Source organism: Homo sapiens, chromosome 12, assembly GCF_000001405.40.
Source record: "Homo sapiens chromosome 12, GRCh38.p14 Primary Assembly".
Taxonomy (NCBI): domain Eukaryota; kingdom Metazoa; phylum Chordata; class Mammalia; order Primates; family Hominidae; genus Homo; species Homo sapiens.
This window is the reverse complement of record NC_000012.12, coordinates 112,884,030-112,899,916: the sequence shown is the minus strand read 5'-3', so window position 1 is coordinate 112,899,916 and position 15,887 is coordinate 112,884,030. Positions and strand designations below refer to the sequence as shown.

The window sequence follows — 15,887 nt, the reverse complement described above, 5'->3', positions numbered from 1 at the left end:
TGTGGGACAGAATTGATGGCTCCTTCTTGAAGTAACCATTACTGATAAATTGCTTAAGCACTTTGGGGATGGATTATAGTGTGATTAAGAATTCTAGAGGCCGGGTGTAGTGGCTCACACCTGTAATCCCAAAACTTTGAGTAGCCAAGGCAAGTGGATCACCTGAGGTCAGGAGTTTGAGACCAGCCTGACCAACATGGCGAAACCCTGCCTCTACTAAAAATATAAAAATTAGCCGGGTGTGGCGGCAAGCACCTGTAGTCCCAGCTACTCGGGAGGCTGAGGCAGGAGAATCACTTGAACCCGGGAGGTGGAGGTTGCAGTGAGCAGAGATTGTGCCACTGTACTCCAGCCTGAGGGACAGAGGGAGACTCCATAATAAAAAAAAAAAAAAAAAAGATTTTTTTTTTCTGGAGAGTCAGTTGCTGACTCAGTTCACCTTCAGGACTATCGAGAATCTCCAATGAGAGAATCATTGTAGGTTGGAAGGTGCTACAATGCAAGGGAGGCATTTGATGGTCCATGCTCATCGATCAGTGTGTGAAGAACACTGGATTCTGGGAGTCCAACGATCGAACTCCTTTCCTGGTATTGCCTTTGTTTAACACTGGACATGGCATTTTCTTCTCTGGACCTTGGTTTCTTCATCTGTCTAAAAAGTGAGTTGATTGAACTAGGTTGTGGCTCAATTGTATGTTCTCTTTTAGCTTTGGCAATTTCTGATTCTGCAACCACCTGGGACGTTTCCCAGGTCTTGTAGCAGCAGGAGGAGGATGAGGATGTTGCCCTCCTGTTTGGTAGGCACCAGCAAAAAGTATTCTTCTAGAAGGGTTTGGAGTCAGCCAAGTTACCTTAGGCCCACCTGCCCAAGATAAAATCCACCATAAAGCAAACTCCTCGTGGGCAGAGAACACATCTGTCGCCAGTGCCTGGAACATAGTAGATGCTCATTAAGTACTGACTATCAGAATAGCATATGTCCTGGTGGGGAGGAGGACTTCGCAGAAACCAGAAAGGAAAACTGCAGACCACTCGTTTTCTTGGATGCTCCTACTTTATTTTTGGCTACATCATCACAAAGAAAGATGCTGGGTGGTTGTGCATGCACCGGAGGACGTGTGTGTATTCTAGGCAGGGAGGTGGTTACATTTGTCGGGGACAGCGGGCACCCAGACTAGGGGCACTGTGAGCTTGCTGCATGCTGATTCCAGCGCCTACACCAGCATCAGGCTTGGGCGACACAGCCAGCATGCTGTCTCCTAAGGGGAAACTGTGGTGAGGGAGGTGGGCTGAGAGTAGGTGCCACCAGGGACTAATGGGGAAAGATAAGGTCAAAAGGAAAGATGGCAGCCAGGAAGCTGTTGGCCACCTTGGGGAAGGTGAAGAGCTCGATGTTTAGAAAATGGTTATTCAAGGCAAGAAATGAGTCCTCCCATGAATTGTGCAGGGAGCTGAGGGTGGAGGGCGTTGAAAAGTTAAGAGATGTGATTTGGGGAAAGTGAGAGTTTGAGTATCTGTCTGATGCTTCTGTAGAGAATGTCAGGGGTTTGGGATGACTGGGAGTGATTTTCATGAGGGAAGACTTCATCAAAATTGGGAAAATCGAACCTTTCTCACAGGGCATTGAAGATTGCCTGACTTCAACCTCAAATTTGTAATGTTTGCCCACATTGCCTTTTCCTCCTTTATAAAATAATTTTTTTTATAGGAAGAAAGTGAAAGATTGATGATGAGCCCAAAGCCTTTGGCATCAGGCCTGTCTCTCTCTACTGTTCCATAGCCATGATATTATTTGATTCTCCCAGGAAGCTTAGTAACGAGAGTGCAGGAGACAGAGAGACAGACAAAGAGAGACAGAGAGACTGGAGGGGGTTCTGAGTGAGAGATGGGATGCAAAAGAGTCAATGAAACAGAGTCAAGGGCATTGGGGAGGAGGGTAGCTTGTTCATTTACCTAAGAGCGGAGAAAGGAGAAAGGCTGGAGGCTTTGGCTGAGGCTTCCTCAGACCCATGGCCCTGGTCTTCTAAATGCCTCCGTGCCCACCCGGGGAGCCCACGGATGAGAGAGTCCTCTATGGGGCATCTACACAGCTTGAGGGATGCTGCCATGCACTCAGGGCAGTGCCAGCCATTGGCCCAAGCCCTGGGAATGTCTGGTTCTGCCAACGGGAGGAGTGGGTCAGTTAAGAAGCGTGGGCCCAAGTGGAATCTCAGGTTTGGGCCAGTTTCTCAGTTTCCTGGTCAGGCTGGTGAGAGCAAGGGGGTGAGGCTAGGTTAACATACACTTTTTTTGCTGTTGTTTTTGCGGTGTTACTGCTTTAGAGAGAGAGAAAGGCAAAGGGAAGAAAGGCAGGGAGAGAAAGGAGAGGGGAGAGGCTGAGAAAGAGAGAATCTACTATCATGGAAGGGAAAGAAGAGGGAGGAGGAGAAAAGGTGACAGAGGAAGGGTTTTTTGTTGTTGTCGTTTGTTTTTGTTTTGCTAGGAAGCACACAGGTGACATTCGGAAAGAGGAGAGCGTCCAAGCCCCTGGTGAATTCTGTGCATTTGCATCCTGGTGCACTTGGAGCAGGGAGGGTGTGTTACTGAACACAGCAGTCTGTTTTCCTGGCAATCAGGGTGTACATCTCAGGGGGCAGTGGGAGCCCGGAGGCTCTATTTGTGCCCCAATGCTTCTCTCACAGCATTGTCCGGGTCTGCTGACAACTGGGGATATACAGAGACACAACACAGGGAATGAAAGGGTGTGTGTGTGTGTGTGTGTGTGTGTGTGTACATGTGTGTGTTCAAGGCTAGGAGGGTCTAAAAACAGTCCTAAATGATGAAGAACCTTTGTAATTTACCCAAACTGAGAGGTTATTAAATGATCAACCTCTTTGTAAACGTCTCCCCAACCCCATCCCCATTGCTCCATCCCAGGGATGAGAGAGGGGCTGTATTCAGAGCCCACATCCCAGCATCAGGGAGGAGGGAGTCTTTGGCAGCAGTGCCCAACGTGACGGGGGCTCAAAGGCAGGCTCAGGGAGATCAGCAGGGTATGGGGGGAGGTAGGCATAGAGAAGAGAGATCAGGGTGCGGTGGGCAGCTAGAGCAGGCTGGGGGGGACCCGGGACATGGAGATGGGGACCTGGGCACTAGCCTAATCACTTGACACGTGGTTCTCATTCTGTAGCTGGTGCCAGCGCTCTATCTTCTTGTCTTTATTTTTCAGACACTCGTACCAGTGTTTTAAGCGCTCTCCCTTGGCAGAGATCCCCAGCTGGCAGCCTCCTGGAGGATAAATGGGAAGATAGGAGCAGGTGGTCAGAATAGAGGTCGTTCTAGACCCAAATGTGTAGTTGGGGAAAAAACTGCACCAAGCAGTGACCCCCAGCAACCTGGGATCCATACTCTATAGAGAGTTGTTATAACGTTGCTGCTGTTGTTGTTATTATTATTACGGTCCTTCTCTGCCTCAAGAACCTGCAATGGCTCCCTACTGTTCCACTGAGTCATAATTTCACTGTCTATTTTTAAAGGCTTTCTACAAATCACCATTCTACTCACTGAAACTTATCTCCCACTACTTCTGGGAACTCATTGTCTATTTCCAAAAAGGTTCATCATCCTGCTCAATCCTGTCTTTACCCCTTAGCTCAGGCTCTGTCCCTTGCCTGGAGTCCCCACCCCCCTGCTTCATCTTTAATTGATTTTCTTCCTCATGATTCAAACAGGAACTAAAAAATTAAAAATTTTATCCTGGACATGCAAATAAATTAAGAATTCTTTTGCACCCTGCTTTCTGCAGAGAACGCAAATCTCTCCTGTGATTTAATTACCCCACTGGAGGTGATTTGTTCAACAAATAATCAAGTTTTGTAAGGCTTTTCATGTAAAGACATCCCCAAATTGGACCAAGGTCAAGATCATGGGTCTCAATTTAGCATTTGAACAATGAGGTTGCCAAAAGAATAGCAATGACCTCAACTCTCTGTAGCCCTGGATAAGGCTCTCCTGTTCTGGGGAGGACAGAAGAGGGCGTTTTCTCTGGAGTTAGGAACACTCACCGATGTAATCATTGGACTTGCCGATGTCATAGTCCCAGACTGAAATGTCCAGTGACTTCTTTGCCAGGTCACTGTGTTTGATGTCATAGAAAAACTCCTGAATACAACAGAGGAAGACATGTGGGTAAGAGCCCTCTGAACCCACAGCATTGGGAGGTAAGAGGCCGAGTCCTAGGGGTTATGGGCCAAGGAGAGGTCCTTGAGCTGGCATTCTGGGAGCAAGGAGGTCTTCCCGTGCCGATCCTCTGCCCCAGGTCCCGTGATCCCCTTCCAACAAACACTCTGTGTAACAAAGCACTGTCATCCTCTTTTCAGTGAATTCTCTGCTTGAAATTGGGAAGGCTGGTGAGGTTTTTCTAATAGAGCTCAAGTTTCCTTGTAGGTAAATGGCCATGAACATAGTCCTTCCCCTCTGGTAGTTTATGAAGGGGCATCCCCTTTTTTATTGCTTAGGAATAAAAGTAGTTGAAGTGGCCGGGCCCGGTGGCTCACACCTGTAATTCCAGCACTTTGGGAGGCTGAGATGGTGGCTCATTTGAGCTCAGGAGTTCGAGACCAGCCTGACCAACATGGTGAAACCCCATCTCTACTAAAAATACAAAAATTAGCCAGGCATGGTGGTGGGCACCTGTAATTGCAGCTATTCGGGAAGCTGAGGCAGGAGAATTGCTTGAACCAGGGAGGTGGAGGTTGCAGTGAGCCAAGATCACGCCACTGCACTCCAGCCTAGGCCACAGAGTGAGACTCTGTCTCAAAAATAAATAAATAAATAAATACAGTTGAAGTGGACTGAGTACATATGTTCCCAGACAATCTGATTTTTAAAAAATAGCTTCTCTGCCTAATTACAAAATTCATTTTATGTTCATTGCTAAAACAAAGAAGAACCCCCACCCCCAATTCCCGGTAATCCAACTACCCAAGAATAACCATGTCAACATTCCCCCACATGTGTTCACAGTGATGTATAAATTTTTTGTTAACTAAGTAATGCTGAACATACAGTATTGTCACTTCCTTTTTCATTTACAACTTTGGGCAAAAACCAACTTAGCATGTTCTCAAATATTTTTCAAATATTTTTCTACATCATCATTTCAAATGGCTGCATTTAATGGCTATGTGGCCACATATTTAATGGCTATGTGGCTATTTGTGCCTCTCTAACACACAGCAAATATCCCAGAGCATGAAAAAGAATAGGGCAGCCTTACCTCATTGAATTCGGGATTCAAGGTTTTCTTTTTAATTTGAGTCTTGTGTTTGGCCTTCTTTCCCATGTCCGGTTTCAGCCAGCTGGGAGGCGACACAACATGCTATTATGGATGACGTTTAATGAATAAGAACAGCCTCTTGACCCCAAAGGCCCCTTCTTTATCAGGGTGAATTGATGAATAAATCAGAAAGGGATCAACATTGATAATGACCAATATGCATTAGAGCATCTGCTTGGTACCAGGCACTTGACTGAGCAACTTAGGCATATTTAATCCCCACATGACCCTAGGCAGTAGAACCACAACCACTCAGTTTACAGAAACAGAAACTGAGATCCAGAGAGGCAGAAGTGTGCCCTAGCTCACACAGCTGGGATTGAATCCAGATGTTGCATCTAGAGTCTGTGTTCTTAGCATGCTCACTTTCTCCCCATAAGTCAAATTGATGGCCATGGCTGGTGGTGCCTGGCATTTTACCATCTATCCCACCTTAGGCTGCCCCCAATCCCTAGAGAGAGGCTGGGTGTATGCACAGAAAGGGGAAGATGCAAATCTGATTATTGTCACTCCACTTCTCAAAACTGTGTACTGGGTTCCTTTTAAACTCAGGGGAGAGTTCAAAATCCTTCATGTGGCCTTAAGACCGTGTGTGTTGGGTTTCTGCTCCATCCCAACCTAACCTTATGCCATCCTCCTCACCCCACTCCTTACTTCTCCTTTCCACCCAAGGGCCTTTGAGCAAACTGTTTCTTCTGCCTACAGGGCTCTTTTCCAGTGAGGCCCAGTGTCTGGCACATAGTAGGTACTCAATCAATATTTTCTGGGTGAGGCTGCGTATGGTGGCTCGTGCCTGTAATCTCTGCACTTTAGGAGGCCAAAGCGGGAGGATCACTTGAGCCCAGGAGTTCCAGACCGGCCTGGGCAACATAGCGAGAGCCTGTCTCTATAAAAAATAACAAAAATTATCTGGGCACAGTGATGTATGCCTTCAGTCCCAGGTACTCAGGAAGCTGAGGTGGAAGGATCTCTTGAGCCCCAGAGTTCGAGGCTGCAGTGAGCTATGATCACACCACTGCACTACAGCCTGGGCAATAGAGCGAGACCCTGTCTCTTAAAAAAGAGAGAGAGAACAAAACACAAACCAAACAAAACAAAATATTTCCTGGGTGAGTAAACACAATGGGCTAAACACTCCTAAGGGCTGGGACATTTGGATTCTGATTCAGGTTGTCACCAGCGGAGCAACTTTAAACATGAGCGTAACTTTACCGTGCCTCTGTTTCTTGACCTGTAAAGAGGGCGAACATTTCATTCTCATCTACAGAAGTGGTTTTGAGGATAATTTTTAAGAAGAGACAAAAATGAGGAATTAGAAGTTACCAAAGAGCTAAGCAAAAATAATGGGAAGTTCTGGCTTTTAAAAAATCTTTATTTGATCAGAAACTGCTTAGTGGTCTCCCATTTTTTCTCCCATAACTGCACCCAGCAGGTCAGCTGCTTCAGTAGTGACCACGGCAATTCTACTTCTTCTGGAAGGATTGGGTAGGTGGGGGAGGGGGTGGTAGAGAGAATTATTTAAGAAAACCAATCTGCACATGGCTGACCTCTAATGGAGTGCTGGACAGCACCCCTTGAGCTCATTTCCTCTCTTGGGTCATACGAGGAAATAAAATCAAATTACTCTTAGAAACCAAACTTGTCCCTGACCTGTGTGTTCTTTGTTAACTAAATCTTCATTCAAAGGAAATGTGAAAGACAGCCCACATGGATCTGTTCTTTGGCCATGGACTAAAGGGAAGTATTGCTTTCTGTTATCAGAGGCAGTGGAGGTGGGGGGAGTGTCTCCCAACTGGAGGGGATATTAGTAAATACTCTCTGCCATGAGTAAGGACAGTGATGGTGGTTATTTATAACCATAATGGCAGGTATTTATTAGCATTTACTGTGTACCAGACCCCTTGAAAATGTACCTCTCAGCCTGCATTCTCCAGTTGCAGGGGGTAAAACTGATGAACAAGCTACTGGGCTCTGTATTCATGATGTTCTTGCTGAAGCCACGCTTCCCACAAGTGTTCTTAGCCAATAACTGACGCTAGCAGGGACACTAGGCAGCCCCATTTCTGGGAAATGCAGGACTCCTCTGATGGGTGACTGTGCTCAAGGATTCTCCATCACCTTGGATGAAATAGTGCAGCTTCCTTGGAGCTGCACTGTAGCCTAAGATTGTTTCTACCCAAACTTCCTTCCTTCTCTGCTCCACAGGGGTCATACCTGTAGCAAGGTCTGTGGTCTCTATGGGTCCCCTCTGGATTCCTCCTTATCTCCTCTACAGGCACACCTGTATCTTCTCTTGGTGTTTCCTTCTTGGAGGACCTGAACTAATATACAGTATTACAGTATTACTCTGTCCATTTTGCAGATGAGCACACTGAGGCCTAGAGATGTTAAGCTATGAGCCCCAGGTCACATAGCTAGAGCATACTGGAGACTCCATGCTCCATGGAGATCCACATCCACAGAAACATACATGTTGCTGCCCCAAGGCCAGCAGAATTCTACTGAGGTGCTAAACATTTCTGTACCAGGCTCGATTCTGTTTGCTTTCTTTGTGCTATCTCATTTGAGCCTTAAGCCCACCTTGGAGATAAGTGGAACTCTTGTCTCCATTTTACCAATGAAGAAACTGAATGAGAAGCTAAATAACTTGCTTAGAGTCCACAGCCAGCAGCTGGCAGAGATGAGAATAGGGCCTGATGTCTGACACAGCGGTGGCTATGAGATTGCACCTGGCAGACCTCCAGCTACAGGAAGCGTAACTGACCAAGGCCCTGGATGCAGTGCTTGGAAGTCCATGACATATTTGTGCCAAGGCCATGCTCCCAGCCAATGACTGGGCCTGGCAGGGATGCTAAGGTCGGCCCACTCCTATGAGATACAGGACATGTCTGATGGCCAGTTTTGGCTTGAGGACTCCCTGGTGGCCTTACTGAACTTGTATCTGGAATGCTTCCCTCCAACTTCTCTATCTAGTCCCCTCACTCAGGTCAGACTTGCATTGTAGTCTAACATCTCTCCCTTTCTCCCCTGACTCCCTGCAGACTTCCTGGAATGGGCATTTCCCCTGATAAACCCCTTGTCTGCTTAATCCTATTTTGGCATCTTCTTCTCAGAGGATCTGGACTAACACAGATAACAGAGTCCCTTTTATTCTCCATGATGAGATTGCTGGAACAGACCCCAGACTGAAGGCATGTTTTTTTTCTGAGCATTTCCAGAATGAATCTGGAAAATGCCAGATGGCCTCTTTGGTGGTGGAGGTCTGAGCGGTCCGAGGGGTGTGCGGCCAACTCCTGGGAGTACAAATGGGGCTACTATAACTAATTAGCTTAGTTGCAGAGCCATCAGCAGGCCCTCAAGAGGACAGAGCCACAGAGCTTTGCCTGTGGGCAAGTGACACACCAGTTTGACTGCCTGAGACTCCAGACCCACATTCTTGCCAGTTGTAGGCATTTGTTTCACTGTGACCTTGGGCAGGTTCCTTGCCCTCTCTGGGTCTCAGTGTACAACGATCTTGGTGAAACTGTCTGGTTCTCCTTTTCCAAGGCTCCAGGACTCCTTCAGGGCCCACCTGTAGCCCCAAGGCATTGACTTACAGCTTGACGAATGGGTCTGAGTAGCCATTAGCGTCCATGGCAGCCAGGTGCACGCAGCGTATGATGCCCACAATGAGGCCTCCCTGCTGTGTGCTGTACATGAGGGAGACCAGGATCTTGCCACGCTCCTCGATGTCACCAACACGCTCCACCTGCTGCATTGGGGGAAAAGGCAGTGTGGGCCTTGGAGGGGAGGGGGCCAGGAAATGTGAATGGCGAGCATTAGGGAAGAACCTATGAAGGGCAGGCGAAGCTTGGCCAGCTCTAGGGAGCCAGTACCAGGGACAGCAGATGGCTTAGCCTCCAAAGAGGAGCCAAAGGTGAAAGTTGAGGACCAGTCTCAGGCACATGGGGACCAATGGCTTCCCTTTGACTTAGACATAAACAGACTCTGACTGTGAGCACAGACTAAACTTGCTCCGGGTCACTGATTGGCTTTGGCTCTAACCCAGGACTGAGCCTTGACCCTGGCCCCAGACAGATTCTTGCCTCTGATCTCAGACTCCCTTAACACAACCAGTATTCTTAAAGGGCAGTCCTTGGGGTCATATGAGGGACCCAGGCAGACAGCATGAAGGCTTAGTTCAGTTTCTGCCATGCACACAGCTCAAAGAATGCATCTACTCCAAGAAAGGAGTGTGCCATTGCCCTAGTCAGTAGAATTGTCAACAAAGCTTCTGACAACAAGGCCAAAAACCTGGTGGGCATCCTGGGTATGAGAGAAAGGGGCTTCCCCCTCCTCAGAGGCTTAGGTGTGGAGAGGACATCACTTGTGGGCAAAGGGTTGTTCTCAAGGCAAATCAACAGGGGGGTGGTTGGAAGAGAATGGATGAGGAAGGGGCCAGGGAGGGAGAGAAGAGGAAGATGCTAGCCTAGCCCAGTACAGACCCTGACTGTGGCTTCAATTCCTGCTCAGTGCTCACCTCTTCCTCATAAAGGGCCATGCCTCGGGCTGACCCGGTGGTCCCAGCACGTTTCATCTTAAAAGAAGAAAACAAATAAAAGATAACATTGTCTATGGAGCTCATCTTCCTGCGCAAGAAGGACCAGAAACCCCTCATACTTCCATTACCATCCAGAGCCATGAAAGTGGGTTCTTAAGCTACTGTGGCTCTCCTGCATTCTCCCTTTTAGCTAAAATTTATAAAACTTAGCCATATGGCAAGCTATGTGAATGTGTAACAACCTATGATATAGGTTCTGTTACAATTCCAATTTTACAAATGAGGATGCTGAGGGTCCGAGTAGTTAAGCCCCTTACCCAAGGTCACACAGCCAATAAGTGTCAGAGCATTCCACACACAAACAGACAAGATTTCATTTTCTCTGGTTGAAGTGGCTCAGGGGTCTTGGGGTCTGACCCACCAGGTGCTTTTGCCTTCATGGCCCCTGGGGCCCTTTTGCTGAACTCTAGGCTCTGGGAAACAGAGTTAGAAAACCATTGGTTAAATCCAACCTCCCCACTTTGGAGAGGAGGAAACCTGAGGTCCAGAGGGGAGGGGCCCTCAGTGGGACATAATGGGGGAAGTTCGTGGTGCAAGGGTTAAGGTTTAATGGCAAAGAGCAAAAGAAGATGATCAGTAGTGTTCTGCGGCTGCTGCAGCCCTCTGGGTGTCCTGCACCTCCATGTCTCTGGGGCTGGCTGCATTCACCATAGCAAGATGGGAAGACCCAAAGGCTGATGACACAGGCAAGGGCCTGGCCATTGTCCTGGCCAACTGGACTCACGGAGTTGGAGAAGGAAGAGAAGCCTGAAGACCCAGCTGTCACCAGGCAAAAGCCCAGAAGAAGGGCCTCATTCCTAGGGATGTCTTTAAGGATTTATTCTGAGCCTGGAATTCAGTGGAAATCCTTCCTTGAAATTTTCCTTGTTTGGTCTTGTTCCTTTGCCTGAACTATAAAACTATGGCATGGCATGCAGACATTCCATCCTCAGGCTGGCCATCTGGTGGGAAGATGCTCCTGCACCCCATAGCTTCCCTGTGGAGAGCAGGCAGGCTGCCCAGAGAGACCAGGGGTGCTGGTGTTGTAGGAGAGCTGGACTCTGGCCAGTGCCCAGAGACCTTGGAGACTTGCTACCCTTTCTGGGCCCAAGTTGGCCCATACGTAAGGCAAGGCAGCCTGAATTATCTCTAAAAATATAGATTGTTGAGTCCTACCCTACCCCACTAAAACAGAATCTCCAGGGGAGACCCCCACAAATCTTAGCTTGTAAAGCTCTGGTTTTAGAATCCCCCGGTTAATTCTGAGGTGCAACCCCATTGCAGAACCTCACTTTGATCCTTGCTATTTTCTCAAAGAGCAAGAATCACATCTGACAACAACAATGACAGTTCTAATACTTCATATGTATTATCACATTCAATCCTTAAAAGATCCTATGAGGTTAGTACTACAGTATCCCATTTTACAGATGAGACATCTGAGGCCCAGAGAAATTAAATAATTTGCCTCAGGTTATACCCTAAGTGGCAGAGCCAGGATTCACACCCGAGAGTCTGGCTGCAGAGCCCATACTCTTAAACTCTAGGCTATGCTGTCTGCTGTTTATCTACATGGTGCTTTCTGACTTCATGACTGACAGGTGGGTAAGGCAGCAATATTTCCTACACTAACAACTGTTAATTTATGAGTGCTTACTATGCATTAAGTTCTATTTTGATTATGTTATTTTTTAAAACACAACCCTCCCAAGAGGCAGGTACTGTTATAACACCCACATTACAGACAAGAACACCGAGGCTCGGAGTGGTTCAGCCCCTTGGCCAAGGCCATGGAGCAGCAAGTGGCAGAGCTGGCTCTGAACCCAGGAAGCCCATGCTGCCCCTGCCATGCTGTCCATCCAGTTTGGCCAAGAAGAACTCATGTTCGAAGTGATGCTGACACAGGGTTTGTGAAAGGCAGAGAGAGAATGCAGCCTGAGGTTGTGAGCTGGAATCTTGACTCTCCTCTGCAGACCTGCTGCAGTGCCTCTGCTACCCAATACCCCGTGGATCTATTTCCCCCAATTCAGACCCAGAGGAAGGCAGCTCCCCCAATCTCCCCTCCTCCCATCAGATCCTCAGGGTAAAGTCACTCACAGGAATCACTCGCTCCAGGCAGATGTTGAAATTCTTCCTCTGGTTGGGCTTCAGTTTCTTGAGGGAGAATCTGGTCTCACCAATAAATTCATTGTGGCCAAATTTGTCCTCATCACAGACGGAGATCCTGCCACCAACACAAGGGGGTAGAGAGAGAAACAGGAACAAATATTAAGACACCACTGTGTGCCAAGAGTTGCAGCTGATACTGGTAAGGAATGTGTAATGTATGTGGAAATAATATGATTTCCTGTTTATTTATCACTGGACCAAGTACCTTTAACTTCTTCTTTATTGCAGTATAACTGACATGCAGTAAAGCACATAAATTTAGTTTATAGCTTGATGAACCCTTGCATTTGTATATACCCATGTAATTCCCACCCAGGTCAAGATATAAAACATTCCAGAGACTGAAAGATCCTCAGGATCCTTTCTAGTCACTGCCTGTCTCAAAGATAGCCACTCTTTTGCCTCTGGCCACATGAAGTCATTTGTCTGGTTTTTGACCTTCATATAAATGGAATCATATAATATAGACTCTTTTATGTTGGCTTCTCTTGCTCAAGATTATGTCTGTGAGATGCATCCATGCACAGTATAACTTATCCTTTTTATTGCTGCATAGTATTCCACTGTGTAAATGTACCATAATAATTCTGCTGTTGATACAGGTTGTTTCTAGTTTTGAGTTATTATGAATAACGCTGCTATGGAATATTTATGTTCATGTCTTTCGGATATACATGTACATATTTCTATTGAGTATTTTCCTAGGAGTAGGGTTGCTGGCCATGGACTAGGCATAAGTTTAGCTTCAGTAGAAACTTCAAAACAGTTTTCCAAGGCAGTTCCACCAATTATGTCCCTACCAGCAGTTTATAAAGGTTCTGGTCACTCTTTATTCTCTTTGACTTCAATTATGTCAGTCTCTAATTTTAGCCTTTCTGGATGGGTCATAGTATGTCACTAGTTTTAATTTACATTTCCCTGATGATTAAAACAGTTGAGCCCCTTCTCATATACTTTATGGCCATTTGAGCATCCTCTTTTGCAAAGTCAGGCTAGGAACTTTTCTCATTTAATTTTTCCTATTTCAAAACAACTGCATTTACCATTTAGAGAAGATACTGGGGCCCAGAAAGATTAAATAATTTTTCCCTAATAAGAGGTAGAACCAGGGTTTGAATCCAGGTCTCCCTGAATCCTATAGTAATATATTGCCTTTTGTTATCTACCTTACACAGCATTGAGTAACAGTGGCACAAAAAAGGCAGGTCATAAGAAATGTCCCTTAGGACAAGAGTCTCCAACCCTCAGGCCATGGACCAGTACCAGTCTGTGGCCTGTTAGGAACCTGGCTGCACAGGAGGAGGTGAGCAGCAGGTGAGCAAGCATTACCACTTCAGCTCCGCCTCCTGTCAGATCAGTGGCAGCATTAGATTCTTACAGAAGCATAAACCCTATTGTGAACTGCACATGTGAGGGATCTAGTTTGCACGCTCCTTATGAAAATCTAATGCCTGATGATCCAAGGTGGAACAGTTTCATCCTGTAACCATCCTTCTCCCTACCCCAGTTCATGGAAAAACTGTCTTCCACAAAACTGTTCCCTGGTGCCAGAAAGATTGGGAACTGCTGCCATAGGAGACCAAAAGGACCAGTCACGGCATGATAATTCATCCTGACAAACACTAAGAGAGGAAAGGGCTTATTGTCCTGCAAGGCATGGGAGGCATTCTTGGGGGACAGGAAGGGACTGTAAAAGTACCGCACTCCTTGGCCACCAACATTAGTTGAACAAATGTTCAAAGTCCTGGAGGGCCCAAACACCCTCATAGCTGAGTCCTGCACTGTCTAACACTGGAGAAAAAACTTGTCTCTACTGAGCTGGTTGGGGTGTGAACAATATCATCCTTCTTCAGGGCAACGCATCTCCAAAGACATAAGAGAATAATCACTGTTTTTGACCCTGTAGCACCACTTATAGGAATTTACCTCAAATATATCATAAGGCAAGTACAAAAATATTTAACTACAATGGGTCCAAAAAATAGTTAGAAGGAATAAATGAGATCTAATATTTGATAGCACAACAGGGTGACTATAGTCCATAATAATTTAATTGTACATTTAAAAATAGTGAAAAGAGTATAATTTGATTGTTTATAACACAGGGATAAATGCTTGAGGTGATTAAAAAAGACATTTATTTTAACCCATTTAAAAAACTCATGATGCGATTATTACACACTGTATACCTGTATCAAATTATCCTATATACCTCATGAATATTAATATATACACCTACTATGTACCCTCAAAAAATTAGAAATATATTTAACTACAAAGATGTTTGTCACAATATTGTTTATAACTATGAAAAAAGCAGAAATAACAAATACTGTACAATGGAGGAACTGCTTAAGAAAATTATGAAATAACCACAAAATGTAATAGTGTACATTAGAGAAAGTGTTGTACTTAGTCATCAGGGAAATTTGGAACCACAACGCAACACCAGTGCACACCTACCAGAATGGCCAAAATGAAAAAGTGTTGATGAGGCTGTGAAGCAACTGGAACTCCCATGCATGGCTGATAGGAGTGCACACTGGCACAGCCACTATGGAAAACTGGCAGTTTCTATTAAAGCTGGACGTACCCATATCTTATGGCTCAATCATTACACTTCTAGGTATATATGCAACAGAAATAAGTGCACCTGTGCACCTAGAAACAGCTACTAGAATGTTCCTAGCAGCACTATTTGTAATAGCCCCAAACTAGAAACCACCCAAATACATCAACAGTAAACTGGATAAATAAAACTGCATTATATTCCTGCAATAAAATACTAAATAGCAACAAGAATGATCTACAACTACACACAACTTAGATGAATACACATGTAAAATGTTAAATGAAAGAATATAGATACAAAAGAGCCACACAATAAAATTTCATTTATATAAAGTACAAAAACAGACAAAATTAACTTGTCCTGTAAGATGTTAGGATATTGAATACCCCAGGGGAGCATTCAATAAGAAGGGGCCACAGTGGGGGTCTTCTGCAGTCTAGGAATGTTCCATTCCTTAAGCCCAGTATGTTCACTATTGTGAAAATTCATCAATCTGTGCATTTATATGTGCATTTTGCTAAATGAATGTTATGCCGCAATAAAAATATTTACTTAGAATAATGTTGCAGCCAATTGGGAAAGCAGTTTGCATGTCTTGTAAAATTGTTTTGGAAAACATCACATATCCCATGATCCAGTAATAATTCTCTTTGGTTTCTGTCCTAAGGAAACACTCATATGTACACAAGGAAGAATAAAGTTGCTCATTGCAACTTTGTTTGTAATAGAAAAAAGCTGAAAACAATTTAAATGTCCACCCAAAGGGAATTGGCTAAATAAACTGGTAAACATTTACACAAAAATTTAAAACATGCCAAACAATGCTGTACATTGTTTATAGATACATAATTATGAAGTATAAGACATACTTGAGAATGATACCCAAAGAATTCAGGATGGTGTCTAGCTCTTGGGAGAGAAGGAAGAGGACAGGACAGGGTGGGAGATAGAATATACAAAAGGAGCTTCAACTTGCATCGGGGGTGCTTTATTTCTTAAAAAAGAGCTGACGCAAACACAGCAAAATAGCAAGATTTTTAACAGATCAAGTATCGGGTGGGTTCATGGATGTTTGTTTTAGTATATTCTACACTTTTCTATTCATTTGTAATATTTAAGGATAAGAACATTTAAAAAAATCTGTGATAAATCCATTCTGTGGAATATTCTGAGGCAGTTAAAAATTAGGTAGATTTAAATGTCTTTTCATGGCTGTAATACTGAGATATATTGTTAAGAAAAAAAGGCAA

At 45.2% G+C, this 15,887-nt stretch overlaps 1 protein-coding gene across 10 annotated transcripts in view; it reads right to left on the bottom strand.

Annotated features, from left to right (window-relative positions):
• RPH3A (rabphilin 3A) overlaps positions 1,036-15,887 on the bottom strand; it is a 323,646-nt gene continuing 308,794 nt past the window's right edge. For 9 of the 10 annotated variants that reach the window (NR_145127.2, NM_001347952.2, NM_001347953.1 and 6 more), the window contains 6 exons: positions 11,994-12,120; positions 9,837-9,893; positions 8,914-9,068; positions 5,258-5,339; positions 4,044-4,140; positions 1,036-3,267 (listed from right to left, as the gene is read on the bottom strand). Coding sequence is in view for 8 of the 10 variants with exons in the window: in NM_001347952.2 (NP_001334881.1) it covers positions 3,137-3,267; positions 4,044-4,140; positions 5,258-5,339; positions 8,914-9,068; positions 9,837-9,893; positions 11,994-12,120 (649 nt within the window). In the remaining 2 variants the exon portion in view is untranslated. Of the gene's footprint in view, positions 3,268-4,043; positions 4,141-5,257; positions 5,340-7,531; positions 7,639-8,913; positions 9,069-9,836; positions 9,894-11,993; positions 12,121-15,887 lie in introns of all 10 variants that reach the window. The other variant, NR_145126.2, reaches the window with a different exon arrangement.